Source organism: Homo sapiens, chromosome 4 (genome assembly GCF_000001405.40).
Source record: "Homo sapiens chromosome 4, GRCh38.p14 Primary Assembly".
NCBI lineage: Eukaryota > Metazoa > Chordata > Mammalia > Primates > Hominidae > Homo > Homo sapiens.
Genome location: NC_000004.12, coordinates 135,853,183 through 135,871,445, shown reverse-complemented (window position 1 = coordinate 135,871,445; position 18,263 = coordinate 135,853,183). Strand labels below are relative to the sequence as shown.

Here is an 18,263-nt window from a genome sequence, read left to right as displayed (position 1 = left end):
GCTCACTACATGGCTTTAATATTATCTTAATTTATGCTAAGTACTATCATCCTACAGCCAAAGATAGCATGCATATCTATATGTTCCCAAAGTCCTGCAGGTAGGAACTGTACACCTTACTCAGTAAAGGCTGCAGTATGCCCCAGAAACTACTGAGCCATGGACTCTTTATATTTTTTGCTCATCTCAGGGTTACGTTCATATATTGTGTGTTGTAGAATGCCCATTGTAATGATGTGTTAACCCTCTGAGATAGCTTGTTGCTTTATGTGTAACTTCCTATCACACGTATGTATCTGAAAACTGACTAGAGAGTATGAACACCATTGGACAATGCATTTATCTACCACGCAAAATATTTATTCTCAGAAGTGCTTGAGGATATTTTCCTTCAGCTCAGACTTGTGTGAAATGTGCATATTCTCAAAACTAAACTGTCCCAACTGTAAATGACAAGGCTAAATCCTTGTCAAGCCAAAAGAAGGATGAAAGGATTTGGGATAAAATCAAAATAAACACATTAATAATAAATAGGTTATTTCTAAAGCATGATTAATAAGATGTTTTATGTTTCTAAACATAACAAAAATTTACTTCTGCTCTTCAGTTATTCTTTTACAATACACATGAAATTTTAAAGTGGAATCATTAAAAATAAGTAAACAAAATACCCTTTGTGAGATGCAATTAGTAAAATCTAAAAAAATATAGTTCGTTAGGCCAATGACATATAACAGCAAGACTTATAAAGATGGCAAAAGTTATCTTTGATAGACAAGGTAATTTTTATATGCTACACACAACATTGGCTGTTGAGAAACAGATGGAAAGTACATGTATAGAAGCACAATTTATTTTCTTTTTATGAATTTTATAGCTATATACCTTGTCAATTTTTCCTAATAATGCACCTGCAAATTTTTTTGGGGGGGGACTTCTCTATGACAGCCCATCATGATATCTTGGGAAATAATGTGTTTTTATTACTTTTTTCAATCTTTATAGAATTAATTTATTTTGTATGTTTTAGTGTGCTTATTAGAATTATCAGGACAATGTGAAAGGTAAGCTTTGATTGCAGAGATCCCTGTGTTATTCCTTATTTTAAAAGAATTTTCCCAACATTTCCTCATTGATTGATGATATGCAATAAGATATTTGCAGGTAATCCTTAGCATGACAAAGAAATTATCTTTGTTTTCTAGTTTTTTAAGATGGTTTTTATATTATGAAGACATGTCAGACTTGAAGAATACTTATTCTGAATCCATCTATCTTGTATTCTCTTTATTGTCTTCACTCCGTTAATGTACTGAATAGTTTTTTTAATATATTTTGCTTGTTCACCTCCCGTTGCCAGTTCCCAGGATAAATCAACTTTTCATGTTGAATTACCATTTAATATACTGCTAGAGTTGGACATTAACAGTTTATGGAAAATATTGGGAGCTTTGTTGATGAAGAAATTCACTATACCTATCTGATAATATTCCTGTCATCTTTTGGTACGTAGGTGATATGGCTTCACTGAATGAGATAGAAGATATTCCTTTGTATATTACTTTAAAATATTTGGATATCATTAGAATGTTATACTCTAGGAATGCCTTATAGACCTTTATGTTGGCAATCACTGGGCCTGGTGTTTTTCTTGTAGTTTCATAAGAAATATTTTAATTATTTCAATTTTATAGGGGTATTCAGATGTTTTGTGATTCAGATGCAAGTTCTATTTTTTCTAAGAATTCTGGTATTTCATCAAAATCCTCAAGTTATTACTATAATACAGTACTCTCATTTTTAAATGCAGTTATCTTTGCTTTATCATTACTAATATTATTTTTATGTGAGCCTGTTTTTTTCTTGTCAGTCTGGCCAGAGATTTTTCTCTCTTATTTTTTTTCAAAGAACAAACTGCATTTATTGTTTTCCCTATGTTATGCTATTTTTCAAATTTCATTGTTGCCTAATATTATCTGTACTATCTCTTTTATACATTTTCTTTTTGGGTGAATATTTCCAGTGTCTTTAGGTTTATCATTCAGTATAATAATTCTTTCTTTGAAAATAAAATATTAAACTATAATAAATGTATCTTTCTAGAAATTTAGTTCTTAATTAAAATTAATATTTGTCTTTTTATACCTAATAGTCCTTGTCAAGTGGTGAATTTTGTGATTGTATTCTTATTTTGTTTAAATTACATACAGAGTTGTATGTGCTGTATCTGTAACTAGAGCTCCTAGGGAGTCTCAATATTATTTTCATTATTGTTTTTTGTATTTTATTCTTATTTATTTTAACTTTTACTTTAAGTTGAGGGTACAAGTGCAGGTTTGTTATGTAGGAAAATTTGTCTCATATGATTTTGTTGTACAGATTATTTAATCACCCAGTTATCAAGCCTAGTACCCATTAGTTATTTTTCCTGATCCTCTCCATCCTCCCACCTCCACCTTCCGAACCGCCCCAGTGCATGTTGTTCCCCTCTATGTATCCATGTGCTCTCATCATTTAGCTCTCACAATAGAGTGTGGCAATTCCTCACACACCTAAAGACAGAAATAGCATTCAACCCAGCAATCCCGTTACTGGGTATATACCCAGTAGAATATAAATTATTCTATTTTAGAACACATGCACCTGCATGTTCATTGCAGCACTATTTATAATACCAAAGACAGGGAATCAACCTAACTATCCATCAATAGTATTTTCATTAATTCTAAATCACAGGGACTTTGCTTTCTCATGTGTTTTGTCATATCAATTAGCCTGTATTAGTAAGTCTATATATTTATTCTTTTAAACCATAAACAAGTCATATTATGCACATGTTACAGTCTGTCAAGATCATCTTCAACTATGAGTTTCTCTTGCAAAGTACTAAAGTTTTTGACATCTGGATTTTGATAAAAATGAACAGCAAGGGTAAAGGCTAAGGCATCTGAAGAATAACATCAATTCCTTCATCTTATTTCATTGTTTTTGGTAACTCATGAAATTTGCTCTTCATAAGTTACCTCAAACTTTTCAGAGTTTATAGCAAAGCACTATTGCTCTATATGTGAGTGTGTGGGGAGTCTTAAACATAAGAGTGTTAATAAATGTCCAGAGTTATTTGAAAACAATAGGAATTATTAAATATCTATGTGATTTTCTACAATCACATATTAGAAAGAAGGCCAATAATTCACCACTTTTTATTTCACCTATTAATTTTATAACTTTTGTCAATTTTATATTTGGAAGAAAATCAATAACATATTTATTTATATGCATCACATTTGTTCTGCTATTTAATCTCTACTTGATTATTTACATATCTCAATTCACAATTTTAGCAATATCTGGTATTTGTTTATTTATTACTTATGAGGGTGACAGTCATGTCCCAGTGGAGAGACACAGTGAAAGAAAACATTGTCCTCTGAGGCTCTCCTGGTGTGAAGTTCTGACCTCAAGCTATCTATTCAAATAGGCAACTGCTACAACTGGAATGACTAGATAAATTCACAAGAGAATAAATCTTATTTCAGGTCAAAGAACAGAAAAAAATATTTGAAGAAAAGAAGAAAAGATCTAACCTTCATTATACAGGTGCAAACAGGTGATACTTGTTGAGTGTGTGTGTGTGTAACTTCAGGATGAATAAGGCAGATGAAATATTTAAATGTAGACATGTTGAAAGCCAATATAATTTATTCCAGTGAAATAACAGATTGTTAATATAATGCAATTATTTCTTTTAGTAAAATATTTCTTAAAATATATCATCTTCTAATATTATTAGTATATTTCCCCAAGGTTAACTCTGTATTGGAACATTTCAAAATATAACTTTGACTAATTTAATTGGAGCAGAAGACCAGTGCGTGCACCTACATTAAACTGACATTAAATGGAAATAGCAAGAGCAGTGCCTAATAGTATGTGCCTCTAATCCACTGAAGGCCTGACCCTAATGGCCAAAAGCACTTCAATTAAGTTTCATTGCTCTTCATTACATTTTCTCAATATATGTGTCTGATGTGATTGTTTCTGCTCTCACAAGACACAGGAACTTTTGATAAGGGCTAGGGGTAACTTTGTTTTTTATGTAATTTAATTCTAATGTGAAATGTCTTTACGGTTTTTAGAATTCCACTATTCAGTGGTATTTTATCTTTCTCTTTGGGTTATTACTGCTTTCTAATCTTGCTTAGAATATGTAATTAATTTAATTTTTTTTCTCTCTATGCTCTATGTCCTTCTATAATACAGGATTGCACAGATTGCCTTTTGTGATAAAAAGAGGAAGAAAAATGGCAGCAACCCAGATTATTATTATACTTAAATGGTCTCTCACACTTTATGAAGATCTTTGTGTAAAAGTATTAAGCAGTCCATTTAACAGAGAAGTATGTTTGTTTCACATGTATCAGAAAATGTGAGTCTTAATTAAAATAGATCCTGACGTCAAATGCTATTGATGAGCAGTTATTATTCTATATGCTATATTTTATATCAGTGTAATGTGTATGAAGTTTTAAAAGACCTTCTAGGTTTCTGCCAGATAGTGATACAGTGATAAAATATCAGCAGTTCAAAAAAAAAAGAATGAAAGGTTTATATGAATGATGACACTGAAAAAAAAAAACAGACCCTCAGAACTAAGGTATCTCTTGATAAATAAAGCTGTTAGATGTTATGTGGCAATATCAGATGTCAGGAGACAGAAAGAAAGTATTAGTTGCTTCCAAGGGATCTGATATAATGAATATAGTAATTAGGTAGATTGATCACGGTCCCTCGGTTATAGAATCAAGTTGATAAGACTCTACTAGTGAGTGGAAGTTGGTGGGGTCAAGATTTGTTAAGAAAATCTTATGTATTGTTTAGCAAACTATATGTAGAAGAAACTACTAGAGACATAGAGAATTACACAATGTTTATAGGTAGACATAAAACTGAATAAAACTTCATGTAATGGTTGTTATATATGCTACTTAGTTTTTCACCAACTTATTTCTTTTAATATTTCATAAAAATTATGTTTTTAAAATTAATTTATATTCATATACATAGTTCTAGTTTAGTCACAATGTTTCAGAGTGCATACATATGAAGTAAAATATAAAGAATGTAAAGGGGTGATAAATATAAATTCAGAAATGTAAATATCTCTATGTGGAAGAAGAATACAATCAGTAAAATATGTAGGAATGATTCAACTCTGTTTTAAGCTTTATTTGTTAATAGTGGAGACAGAATTTTTTGTATTCTTTATTCATTTTATATTCTTGAAATAGTTCAAAATAAATTTAAGTTTTCTCCAAAATGTCTGGCGATATAATTTATAAGTTAATGGCAACACTATACATCATAGTGCATGAAGATAAGAATATATCATGAACATTATAAGGTAGAATTTGAGAAGGAACTGAAACCCCTGCAGTATTGAGTATTTTTTTTTTCCTTCTATCATGGGCTCTGACCACAATAGAAATCTCTTTCCACAACAAAATGATCTTCAACTAAGATGTCACATTAATGGATCTTAAATAAGCACTAGTGTAGTATATAGACTTAATTCTTACACAAAAGCTTATTTCACAGCCTCTTATGATTTTTTCAAGGGCACATATGTTTATTTGTGTAGTCCTTGCAAATCCAAGTGTTTAATGACTATATGTAGATAAGTGTGTACATGTAAACATACATACTTCCACATTAAGTTCTCTGTGTGTTTGATTTATATATCCTTCTAAAATATCCATCATTACCTATTGTTTTAACACAATTATCTTCAGTAAACAGAAACACAAAATAGAATGTCATTGTTTTATTGTCCCTGTGAAGACAGTAGCATATGAGGTGGCTTTAATATTAGAATATAATAGAATTTTTTTTTACTTAGTTGGCAAATTGTAAAGACAATTTATTGTATGGTGGAAACAGCATTTAATCTTAATGAAATCAGGGTGGGATTTCTTTTTCCATTACCCATACCAGTTTGGAAAATTGTATTCAATTTTCTGGTTTTTATATTTTGAAGCTATGCAAAAAACACTTGAAACTATAATTTTGAAACTCCTTTATGGTGTGAAAATTTTATGGTCATTTATCACTAAAGATGATGGGATATAAAAAAGCATAGAGCCAATTGGAGGTATAAAGATATACTTAGAATATGGAATTGAGGTAGCATTTTTAATCATCTCTGTTATTCCTACTTATGTCATTATTGAATTGAAATGCATGCACTTTATATGCAAAGCTACATTTTTTGTTAAAATCAAATAAATATACTGGCAAACTCCAACCTCCCAATTTAACATTTGCATGTTTTCTTGATTTTAAATTGTATGGTTGAAGGAAACAGAAATGCTTCTATTCTGAAATTTGAGAAACACCATTTAAATAAATTTTACATCTGCCAATTTGCAGTTATATAATCAGAGTTAACTAAGTCAATTAAAAGGTACATTATAAATTAGAGGTGTCTTTATTGAAACCTAGCTTAAATGGAGGAAGCAATTATATATTCAGTGTGAAAACCATAGAGAAAATAAATCCATCAGTCCAGGAACTACCTAAGTTAAACTTCCTATATTATCAAAAATTTATTTTGCTCTCTGTAGGGAGACCCCCTGAAACTATCGCTATAGAATAAAAGATAAAATGCTCCTGATTATTGTAAATACAAAATTGCATGCAGGACTGTGTAAAGACAATGCCAGGTTGGACTGCCAGAACGAGCCCACAGTGTGTGATGTGCTTCCCCCTGCAGAGACCCTATGAATGGACGTGCAGTCAGGGAGGTTTCACATCACCAAGATTCCTATCCCAGAAAAGCAGATGTTCATAGCTCTGGGAATGGAACGCGACCCACGTGGAGAGCCTATAAACGGACGCATGGGGGCGCCTGTCCATATGGATAAGATAGGGCTATAAACGCCCTCATCTTGCTGCGGCTCTTCTAGGCCTCTTTAGGGTTAAGGCATACTCCCTTCTGAGAATTTCTGGTCTAACCGGTTGTCTAGTTTCATGTCCTGTTTCCATGGATTGTTTGTCACCAGCTTTTGTTGCAACAGTTACTGCTGATTAATATCTTGCTAATCATAGGTTATGGAAAGATTGTTTTTCTGTTTTAAGGCTCTGTTAGAAATTACTGACACACACACTATATTGGAAATTCTTATCTCTGTATACTGTATTTTTACATACAAATGTTATGTTAAAGAATTACTTCATCCCCATGTGACCATCTCACCTCATAATCAAATGACCCTAAATCCCTCACTAACCTACCCCCACCCTCACTAAACTTAATAATAAATGCTGGTATATCCAGTGCATTGTTGGCACCATGGGACCAGAAGGCGGTGACCCTCCTGGACCCAGCTTTCACTATCTTCTGTGTGTCTTATTTTTCAAACTGCCGATCTACCTGGGAACGAAGAGAGAGCCCCGTTGCATTGCGGGCTGCTGACCAGATCCTGCAATAGCTCTCTTCATAACATTACATGTATATGTGGCTACAATTTCTGGATGTTTAGTATTTTCAAAGTTTCTGGGAAAAAAAAATACACTTCATTGAAATCAGTAAGGAATTTACCATCTGTTTACAGAGCAGTGATATCAAGGCAAAGTGATGCTCTGTGGTATATTTCCAAACCCCTAACTGAAATGCACAAGGCACATATGCTTGCCAACGTGATTTAAAATAAGAATCTGGCCAGGTGCATTGGCTCACGCCTGTAATCCCAAAACTTTGGGAGGCTGAGATGGGTGGATCATCTGAAGTCGGGAGTTCCAGACCAGCCTGGCCAACATAATGAAACCCTGTCTCTACAAAAAAAAAAAAAAAAGAAAAAAGAAAATAATTGCCAGGTGTGGTGGCGGGCTCCTGTAATCCCAGTTACCTGGCAGGCTGAGGCAGGAGAATCGCTTGAATCCGGGAGGTGGAGGTTGCAACGAGCCAAGATCGCACCACTGCACTCCAGCCTGGGCAACAAGAGCAAAACCCCATCTCAGAAGAAACAAAAACAAAACGAAACAAAATAAGAAGCCAATTAGTGTGCTCAACATCTCCAAACCTGGTCTGGATGCACATTACTTATAAATAAAGAAGCTGTAGTTTAAAGACTTAAAAATGATAATTAAAGGTAGGACTTAGCACATGTTCTTGTTAATAATAAGCATGTTAGATAACACTGACAACTTTTAAGGATCAAAACTCTTCAACGCATTAACTAGAGGTTAAATTTACAATATTTTTCCCTAATTTTAAGACTTTATTCCAGTTACTCAGCCTCTTAATTATCTCTATCTAGAGTTATTGAAATGATTAAACTTACCTAAAGGACTGAGTTAATTATATAAGCATATATTATAATCTCAATAAATGATTTCTATCATCTTATGTAATTCTTATTATTATAACACATGATATTATATTCTGGTTTAGGTCATTCATATCATTTAGCAAAAGTAATAAACTATTAAAATTCAGTGAAACTGAAATCTGTATCAGGCACTCAGCTAAACTCATTTAAAACTTGAAAACCACCTGATGAAATATGCATTATTATTTTTCCCATCTCAAAGGGGAAAAAATTAAATTTTAGAGATTGTGAGTAAATTTTTCAGGGCCCTGCAGTTAGTAAGCATTGAACCTGGAGTTAAATCCTGAATCTGGCAGATCTTAAGTCTTGTTCTCAGAAGGGTTAAATATATTGCCACATAGGTAGAAAATCACTTCAGAAAGTAAGTCATTGAAAAGATCAGTGTTAAACTAATTATTATTTTTTTTACAGTAGCCCTCCCTTATCCAAAAGGGATAAATTTTGTGACCCCCAGAGGATGCCTTAAACCACAGATAGTACCGAACATAATTGTTGTCAATAGTAATATGTTTGTTTTTATGTCTTCCACTCCTTCCATGCCTTTTGTTTTTAACTAGGAATTTATTATACACTTTGGCCATAACTATTGCAATTTGAGGTGAATCAGCAAAACTAACACAAATTTATTTCTTCTTCTTCACAATTTCACAAACAGAAGAATTGTTCTTACTGTGTATCATAGCAACCTTGGGATATGACCCATTTTACTTAAAGGAAATCTTTTATGGCTTGTCTTTGATATATCTGAATTGTCAGCACCACTATGCATACACTTTTAGGACATTATTAAGTAAAATAAGAGTTACTTGAACATAAATACTGCAATACCATGTCAGTTGATCTAATAACTGAGTGACTAACGGGTAGGTAGCAAATACACTGAGATTATGATAGAGAAAGGGAGGACTGGAGGGATGAGTGAGACAGTGTGAGATTTCATCACAGTACTTAGAATGGAGTGCAACATAAAACTTGTGAATTGTTTACTTCTGGAAATTTCCATTTAATATTTTTGGACTGCTGTTGACCATAGGTAACTAAAGAAATAGAAAGTAAGTGTGTCCAGGTTTTAAAATTTCTACTGGGTGACATCTTTACTAAATGAGATCTTAAAAATCTTGTCCACCTTTCCACCCCTTCCAATTTTCTCAGCTGTTAAGTTTGCAACCATACAAGTGAATCTCCTCAAGAGCTCAAAGCTAGTGCTAAACCCACATGAGCTCAAAACTCAACTTTCGCTTATCCTTTGGAATTTTCTGTCTTTCTCTAGAATCCTTAGCCCTGCATACCACTGCAAATTAGACTTAGCTTTCCATTTCTGAGGTTCCTTAAAATAATAGAGAATTATGCTTATCCAGTGTTTACATCCCATATTAGACAAGAATCAAATTGACCTTCAAGTGTGATGGAATGAGCACAGTTATCATTGAGAGGTTTTAGTGTAAACATACACCTGGATCAAATTATAATATAGTACATCCAACTGAAATGAATAGAAATTAAATATTTTATTAAAATATATCAACATTCTATTACACATTCCCTGCCTCAATACTGTACTAAACATTTCAGACTGTTAAAGATCAAAATCAATTATATCATTATGTATTATATTTCACTGGAATAAAAATACTTTTTAACATACAAACATTTGAAAGAAATAAATTAATGCCATTCTGTTTGACATTATGCTTATGTTTTCAATTTATACTTGGAAGTTTGAAAACAGAGAAATAAATTGTGTGGCTGCTTCACATTAGTGTGAAAACTCCTCTGACACTGTAAAAATAACAACAGCATTAAGTTACTTAAATAATTTGTAGTGCTTGAAGAAAGCTCATTAGCACCTTGTAAATTTTCACATAGCCTGTGTTATAACTTCATTTCCAGAGGAGTTATCATAGCACAAAAACAAATCCCATGTGCAATTAATAACTGAAAGATTCACTGAATGATTTTGAATAGAAGACTCTACATAATAAAGAATAAATTTTCAACTTAGCGTGTAGGGCTGAAACATTAATAAGAGCCATACTGGTAGAAATTATTCTTTCTTTTTACCTACCCACCCACTTAGAAGATTAGTTCTATATCACAGATTCTACACTTTAGTAGATCATTCATTTTGTTGGAAAGTAATGTCAGGTAATTTTGCAGTTTGAGATAATTTTTTTTTCAAAAGTTCAATGCATTATTTTCCTGAAAATATTTTCTTTGTTAATTTATTCTTCAACATAAGGAATAAAGATAATACATTAGAATTCAATATGTGCCATCACATAGTATTCTGATCTAAAACTCAACAGATAAACAAACCTTCAGGGACAAGGGGGATCTTCATTTTCACTCATGTAATTGAGGCTTAGCAAACTTCTGCTACGGAGATCAGGACCCACAGCTGCCACCAATAGATGATGTGTATCCAGTTCTAAAGAAGACCCTCAGGGATTAGTAAACAGAAAATGGAATTTATTCCTACTGCAATTGCCATTTTTCCACAACGGTAGCTCTCCAGCTCTTATCCCCAAACTTTACGCAACGACTGGGGATAAAGAGTTGAGAGCTGCAAGGTGAGAGTCGCTGACATAGACTTTGTAAGATTTTTGGAAACATATTGTAAAGGCTACTCACAGGCAGACAGGTGAGGGGGCCCTCAGAAGAGTAATTCATAGAAAATAGAGGTATTGGGATCTCAATCACTTGCTGAAAGCTAGCTGAACTGTAGAATCTTCAGGATTACCCTCCCACCACTTTCTCTGCTGAGACTTGCCTGGTGAGAGTAATCTTCAAGGAACATGTCCTGTTTATGGAGTTGGCGTGCATATGCGGAAAAAAGACCACTGACCTGTAATACATTTTAGTTCTAAAAGCACTATGTAATAAAATAAGCTCTGTGGAGTATATAAGAAAATATCAGCTTGACCTCTGATTAAAATTTAGTAAATAGAACTTAAAAATTATTAATCATGATAAAAATTGAAGAAAAGTAAGTAAAACACATATATATTATGATTAATATATGCATTTTACATATGTAAATGTGTATATATAATTAATATAATAAAATATATTATTGAGCATATTATGTATATAAATAAATAAATATATAATTAATACATATACGTGATTTCAAAGGCAAGCCATGCAGTTGAAGAAGATATTTGTAACACACAAAAGTTGTAGAAGTTTGTTCTCAGAATGCATTTTAAAAACATACAATTTAATTTTTTAAGAGTTCAATAGGAATAAATGAACACATTTTTAAGATAATTATATTTGCATAAACTGTTCCAGTTTTCACTAAAAGAGACAAAGAGAGTAAAAACAAAGTCACTTTCTGAGTGGGCTGTAAGCTATGCTCAGCTGAGGTATTTGCAATAAAGAATTCATAAATCCAGAGGGCAGAGACAAGAATCATGGAGAATCAGTCCATGGTAAGTGTATGACTGAGTCTTAAAGAAGAAAATTTTCAATTGGCTTGTCATAATTTCAAAAATACTGAGAAACAGTGATTTTTGTGTTCTTCCCAACAGCCACCCTTCTTTGGAAAGGAATGTGTGTAGCAGTATCCTAGAACCACCTCACTGTGTTAGCTGTGTGTATGTAAATAGGAGACAGATAAATTGTTTCTTTAACTCACAGAACCTAGAATGAGAGAAACTACTTGAGAAGTTGCTCATAAAACTTAATTTGGATAATAAGATATGATAATTTTAATAAGATGACACATTTCACGGCCTAGGAGGAGGGTGAGTGTATTTTGCATGTAGGGGTAACAGGAAGCATTGGTGGCCAGAGGACACACTGTGCTGGCCGGCTGCTGAAACAGCCCCAAGTGATTTCTGCTTCCGGGTATTCAGGGGCCTTGTGAAGTTCCCACCATAATTATGAGGGCTGACTTGTGTGGCCATAAGGATATTGCAGAAATGACAGAAAGTGATGACTTCTCATATTATTCTGAAAATCTTGAATTATTTTTCTAATACAATAGAACGAGTGTATATGAAGGGAAGATTTGAATAATTTTTTGGCTATAGCAGTACTGTGAAATTTTACCTTTCTCACTGTCAAGATACATACTCAACACTAAAGGGAAGGTTCTGAAAGCAGTCACTTGAAAGCTCAATACTTATACATTGAGGCTTGTAGGATAAAGTAAATGTGTGTCTAAGTCATGGATAATAATCAAAATCATAAGAGATGAACAAAATAGGGTTGTAGTTTAGGAGGTACCTACCTTTTCATTCAGAGCAAAGATGGGAAGCTTTTCCCATGTAACAGCTGTAGGTGATAACACACAAAAATATTCATTGTAGTATATATTAGAACCTCTCCAATAAAGCCTTCTCAATGTGAACAAATCATAATAGGTAGAAGCTGAGGTATGTCTGGATTCTACAGGCTGGTGACTTAATGAGTGACCAGCAAAAATAGAGATGCATTTATCTCCATCAAAAAAGAGTAGATCAATAATGCCAGCAATGTGGAATAGCTTGTGCAGCAGAAACATGTCTACAAGAGCAAATTGAAATACTCCCTAAGTCTAGCAAGTACTGATACTAGAGCTGTGCCACCAGTTTGTGACAGTATCAGCTAGGAAGGAATTAACTGGCTCAATTCCTATTCTTCTTCCTACAGGCCAACCAAGGAATGGTCAGAAGCTTTAATTAAACCTAATGTAAATGACGAGTTAATGGGTGCAGCACACCAACATGGCACATGTATACATATGTAACAAACCTGCACGTTGTGCACATGTACCCTAGAACTTATAGTATAATAAAAAGAAAAAGAAAAAAAAATAGCTGCAGTTAGCAAGAACAAGAGAGAAGCCGACTAAATAACCTTCTCTGGAGGCAGACTTCTTCCCCATAACATGCATGATTTGGGTGAATAACAGATGCTATATTTTAAATCAAATTTAGAATTCATAACATTTTAATTCTGTAAACATTTTTCAACATAGCCATAGTGTACGCATTCTCTACATGAAATCAAACATTGTGCTTGGAGATTCATTGGAAATTAGATATTTCAAACATAGAGATTCCCTTTCTTCATGGCCATCTCCCATTTTTACTCCCAGAGTTCAACTCACCACAGAATTACAAAGCATTTCTGTTTCTTTGGCAAAAATATAAAAGAAAGTATAATTTAGTTTATTTTTTAGGCATATCAACTCAGAAAACAAGACTTTGGGTGTGAGTTTTTTTTTTTTTTTTAATACATTTGGTTCTATAGGCTACATACCCTGATGAATTTGCACTCGCTGTACCAACATGAATTAAATAAGTTCATATTACATGAAACAAATGTAAAATGCAATTGCCCCATGTTCATGTTGGCCATTTAAAAAATTGTGAGTCCTAGATAAGAAGACGCATGGTTTGTAAGGACTTTACATATATCGGGATATTTAATCTTTGTAGGGTCGTCCCAGTGTAGGGGGTATTTTTAACCATTCTGTGTTGAGGCAATTGAGGCACAGAGAGTTAAAGTAACTCAAAAATCTCACAGATAAGAAGAGACAGAGGTCAACTATACACACATGCAGCATTACTCTATAGGCTATGTCCCTATCCGCCACATTGCACTACCTGTGATTCAAAAACGCTAGTTGCAAGTTTTCTTTTTGGCCAAGTCATATCTAAAAGAGAAGACAAGAGACAGAAATTTTTCAGACTGAGGTAATTATAATAATCAAAATCATGCAAGCAAGTATATTGTTGTTTTATTTCTCAATTTAATATTTTTAAAATATACATAGATTTTCAAATTACTTATAAATAATATATCTTTAATTGTTTGGAAAAGTTGCTGTACAGCTATAATAATGTATTAAATATTGATTATGAAGCACTGTGTTACAGTAAATTAATTATAAATCATTTGAAGAATAAAATTGGCAAAGAATTAGTATTTTAGTGAAATTTAAAATCATCTCCCTTTTACAATGTATATTTTTGACATTTTCCTTTTTTATACACAGTCTTTTATATTTGTATGATATCTTTGTTCATCTGAGATGAATGCATTTCTTGTGAGTGGATTGAGGCTTAGAAGCATCCTTCTTAGATTTACATCACGAAAAATTTTATAAGAAAAGAATATCTGATTAAATCTTAAATAGAATCTTAATATTAAAAACTAAGGTAGGCCTTTGCTCTCATGAGAATATAAGGGTTTAAATTTTTTAAAGAAAGAAAATAACTTTGTTACTGATTTATTTCATTAAAAAAATCTTTAGTATCAATTATGTGTAATGTAGAAGATGAAAGGGAAAGAGTGTGTTTGGTCATTATACCATCAGGTTAGCAAATTTGATGTTCCCAATATGCCTCTTTCTACATTTTTATTAAAATGTTCATAATGTCACCAGACAGTATAGACAAGGGAAATCCATAGTAAAAAGATCACTAACGACAGAGACTGTGACTGAAATTATACCCTCAGAACAACTTCAGAAAATGATAGGCCCCGGGATGAAAGCAAACAATATTGAATTATTTCACTTTTCTGTCTCTGATTCTAAGTTGCACTGGCTATGTTGAACTGAAAGTAGGAATCTAATTGTGTATTTCTATTAAACTAGGCAGAAAGAAAGTCTGTCATTGTTTTCCAGAACATTTAGATACCCAAGGAAAAGAATTGTAAAGAGGGATGACTGTAAACACACTGATTATCTTAAACGCAGGAACTATTCTTATATTAGAGACTTCAAAGAAGTAACAATCTGATTTCTAGACTCTTGGGCATAGTCTGAATGAAACAAAGATTTCAAAAAGAAAGAAACAAGTGTACACCTAGAACAATCCACGATAATTAAATTTAAACTCAAAATACTATGACAATATAAAGGGGTAAGCACTCCTAAACAAACAAGTTTGTGAGGCACTTTAAAAAAAATAAAATGTGTCTCACCAGTGAGGGCTACAGCACTCTGTGCCTCCAAGTAAACTTGAAAGGCGGTCTAGGTCATAAGGACTGCAACTGTTAGGCAAGTCCTAGTGCTGAACTAGGCCCAGGGACAGTGGAATCGGTGGCAGTGGGGGCGGGGAGGGGGGATGCTCGTGACACACTGAGGCACCAGCTGGGGCAGCCACCCCTCCCCTGATTCCAGGCTGCATAGCTTGCATCTCTAAAAGAGACCCCTTCCTTACACCTGAGGAGAGGACAGGGAAGTGTGGAGAGGACTTTGTCTTGCATCTTGGATGCCAGCTCAGCCATAGCAGGATAGGGCACCCGTCAGCATCTTGAGGCCCTAGCTCCTAGATGACATTTCTAGACACACCCTGGGCCAGAAGGGAACCTACTGCCTTGAAGGAAAGGACTCAGCCCTGGCAGCATTTATCACCTGCTAACTGAAGAGCCCTTGGGCCCTGAGTAACCACCGGCAATATGCAGGAATTACATCAAAGGCCTTGGATGAGCCTATGAAACTTGCTGACTTCAAGTGAGACTCAGCACATTACTAACTGTGGTGGCTAAGGGGCAAAACTCATTTTGCTTGAGAAAAATAGACAAAAAGCAAAGAAGACTTTGTCGTGCACCTTAGGTATCCATATGATCACAGAATGGTAAAGCACCGAGTGAGCTCTTGGGGGCTCCGATTCCAGGACATGACTCTTGAATGGCATTTCTGGACCTGCCCTGGGCCAGAGGGGAGCCCACTGCCCTAAAGGATGAGCCCAGGCCTGGCAGCTTCACAACAAATTGACTTAAGAATTTTGGGGCCTTAAAGAAACATTGGCGGTATTCTGGCAAAACTCCTCATGGCCTGAGGTTGCAGTGGGTACAAAGTGAGGCTCCTCTGCCTCTGGAAAGAGGAGGAAAGAGTGGGAAGGACTGCATCTTTTTTTTCTAGTGCCAGCTCAGCTGAAATATAATAGAACACCAGGTAGACTTCTAAAGTTTTTGACTGTAGTCCCTGACTCCTAGACAGAACTTCTGGACCCACCTGGGGAACCTGGGGGCTGGGGGACCTCACCATCCTGAAAGGAAAGACATAGGGATGGCTGGCTTTGCCCTTTCTGACTGTAGAGCCCCAGGACCTTCAGCAAACCTAGGCAGTAACCAGGGAGTGGTTACAGCAGGATTTAGATGAGACCCAGTGCTGTACTGACTTCAGGTCTGACCCAGCGCGGTCACAGTGGTGGTGGCCACAAGGGTGCTTGTGTCACCCTATCCCCCAGCTTTAGGTGGCTCAGAACAGAGAGAGAGAGAGAGAGAGACTCTCTTGTTTGGGAGAAAGTAAGAGTCTCTGCCACGTAGGTCTAATTTTTTTTTTTTTTTCGGAGTCTTGCTCTGTCACCCAGGATGGAGTGCAGTGGCAGAATCTCGGCTCACTGAAAGCTCCGCCTCCCGGGTTCACCTCATTCTTCCGCCTCAGCCTCCCAAGTAGCTGGGACTGCAGGCACCCGCCACCATGCCTGGCTATTTTATTTTATTTTTTTTTGTATTTTTGGTAGATACGTGGTTTCACCATGTTAGCCAGGATTGTCTCGATCTCCTGACCTCGTGATCTGCCCGATTTGGTCCCCCGAAATGCTAGGATTACAGGCATGAGCCACCGTGCCCAGCCTCTCTCAGGTCTTATCCAAGACCATCAAGGTAGTACCTCTATAAGTCCGTAAGAACTGCAGGATTACTTGGCTTGGGGTGCACCCTAAAGTAGCTACAGCTTAGATTACAACACACAAGTCTTTTCAAATATCCAGAAAGCCTCTCCAAGAAGGATGACTACAATAAGTCAAGACAGTTAAGACTACATTAAATACCTAATTCTCCAGTGCTAAGACTCCAGAGAACCTCTAGTAGCACCAACACCATCCAGGAAAATATGACCTCACCAAATGAACTAAGTAAGGCACCAGAGACCAATCCTGGACAAACAAAAATATGTGATCTTTGAGAAAGAGAATTCCAAAGAGCTGTGTTGCGAGAACTCAAAGAAATTCAAGATAACAGAGAGAAGAAATCTGGAATTCTATCAGATAAATTTAACAAAGAGATTGAAATAATTAAAAACAAATCAAGCAGAAACTCTAGAGCTGAAAAATGCAATTGGCACACTGAAAGTGTCTGAGTCCTTTAATAGCAGAAGGGATCAAGCAGAAGAAAGAATTAGTAATCTTGCAGACAGACTAGTTGAAAACACACAGTCAGAGGAAACAAAATAATAAAAAACAATGAAGCATGCTTACAGTACGTAGAAAATAGCACCAAAAGGGCAAATCTAAGAGTTATTGGCCTTAAAGAAGAAGTAGAGAAAGATAATGGGTGCAACATTTTTATTCAAAGGGAAAATAACAGAGAACTTTCCAAAGTCCTCTGAATGTCTTCCCAAAGATTTCTGAATATCTAGAACTTATCTAGAGAAAGAGGCATATTGGGAACATCAAATTTGCTAATCTGATGGTATAATGACCAAACACAATTTTTCCCTTTCATCTTCTACATTACACATAATTGATACTAAAGATTTAGTATTAATTTTAATAATAATTTTAATCCATTTTTTTGCATTGTGTGTGGGGGGCTGTCTGTGTCTGTGTATGTGTGTGTGTGTGTGTATAGAATTTCTTCCCCCAACAAACCCACATTCAATGACCTTAGAATAAAAGAGCCTTAAGGACAGATTTTTCCTCTAATCTTGGACCATTAGTTCCCTAAAACATAAAAAAAGTAAACATCTGATATGTGTGAGTTTCTCTCTGTGTGCTGAGGTTTTCAGGTCATCATGCTAAGCACTTTCTCACAATATTCTGAATAAGATGTGTTTGCAACTTTTATCACAGGGAAACAGAGACCCAGAGAAACTGTGACATACTCTAATCATAATTCTGAACTAATTCAGTTTAATCAATTAATTTC

At 34.7% G+C, this 18,263-nt stretch overlaps 1 long non-coding RNA gene across 2 annotated transcripts in view; it reads left to right on the top strand.

Annotated features, from left to right (window-relative positions):
* The window catches only part of LINC00613 (long intergenic non-protein coding RNA 613), a 46,698-nt gene extending 42,235 nt beyond the window's left edge, over positions 1–4,463 (top strand). For both annotated transcript variants that reach the window (NR_103763.1, NR_103762.1), the window contains 2 exons: positions 3,540–3,610; positions 4,264–4,463. This is a non-coding gene — a long non-coding RNA (long intergenic non-protein coding RNA 613). The remainder of the gene's footprint in view (positions 1–3,539; positions 3,611–4,263) is intronic.
* The last annotated feature ends 13,800 nt before the right edge of the window (positions 4,464–18,263 follow it).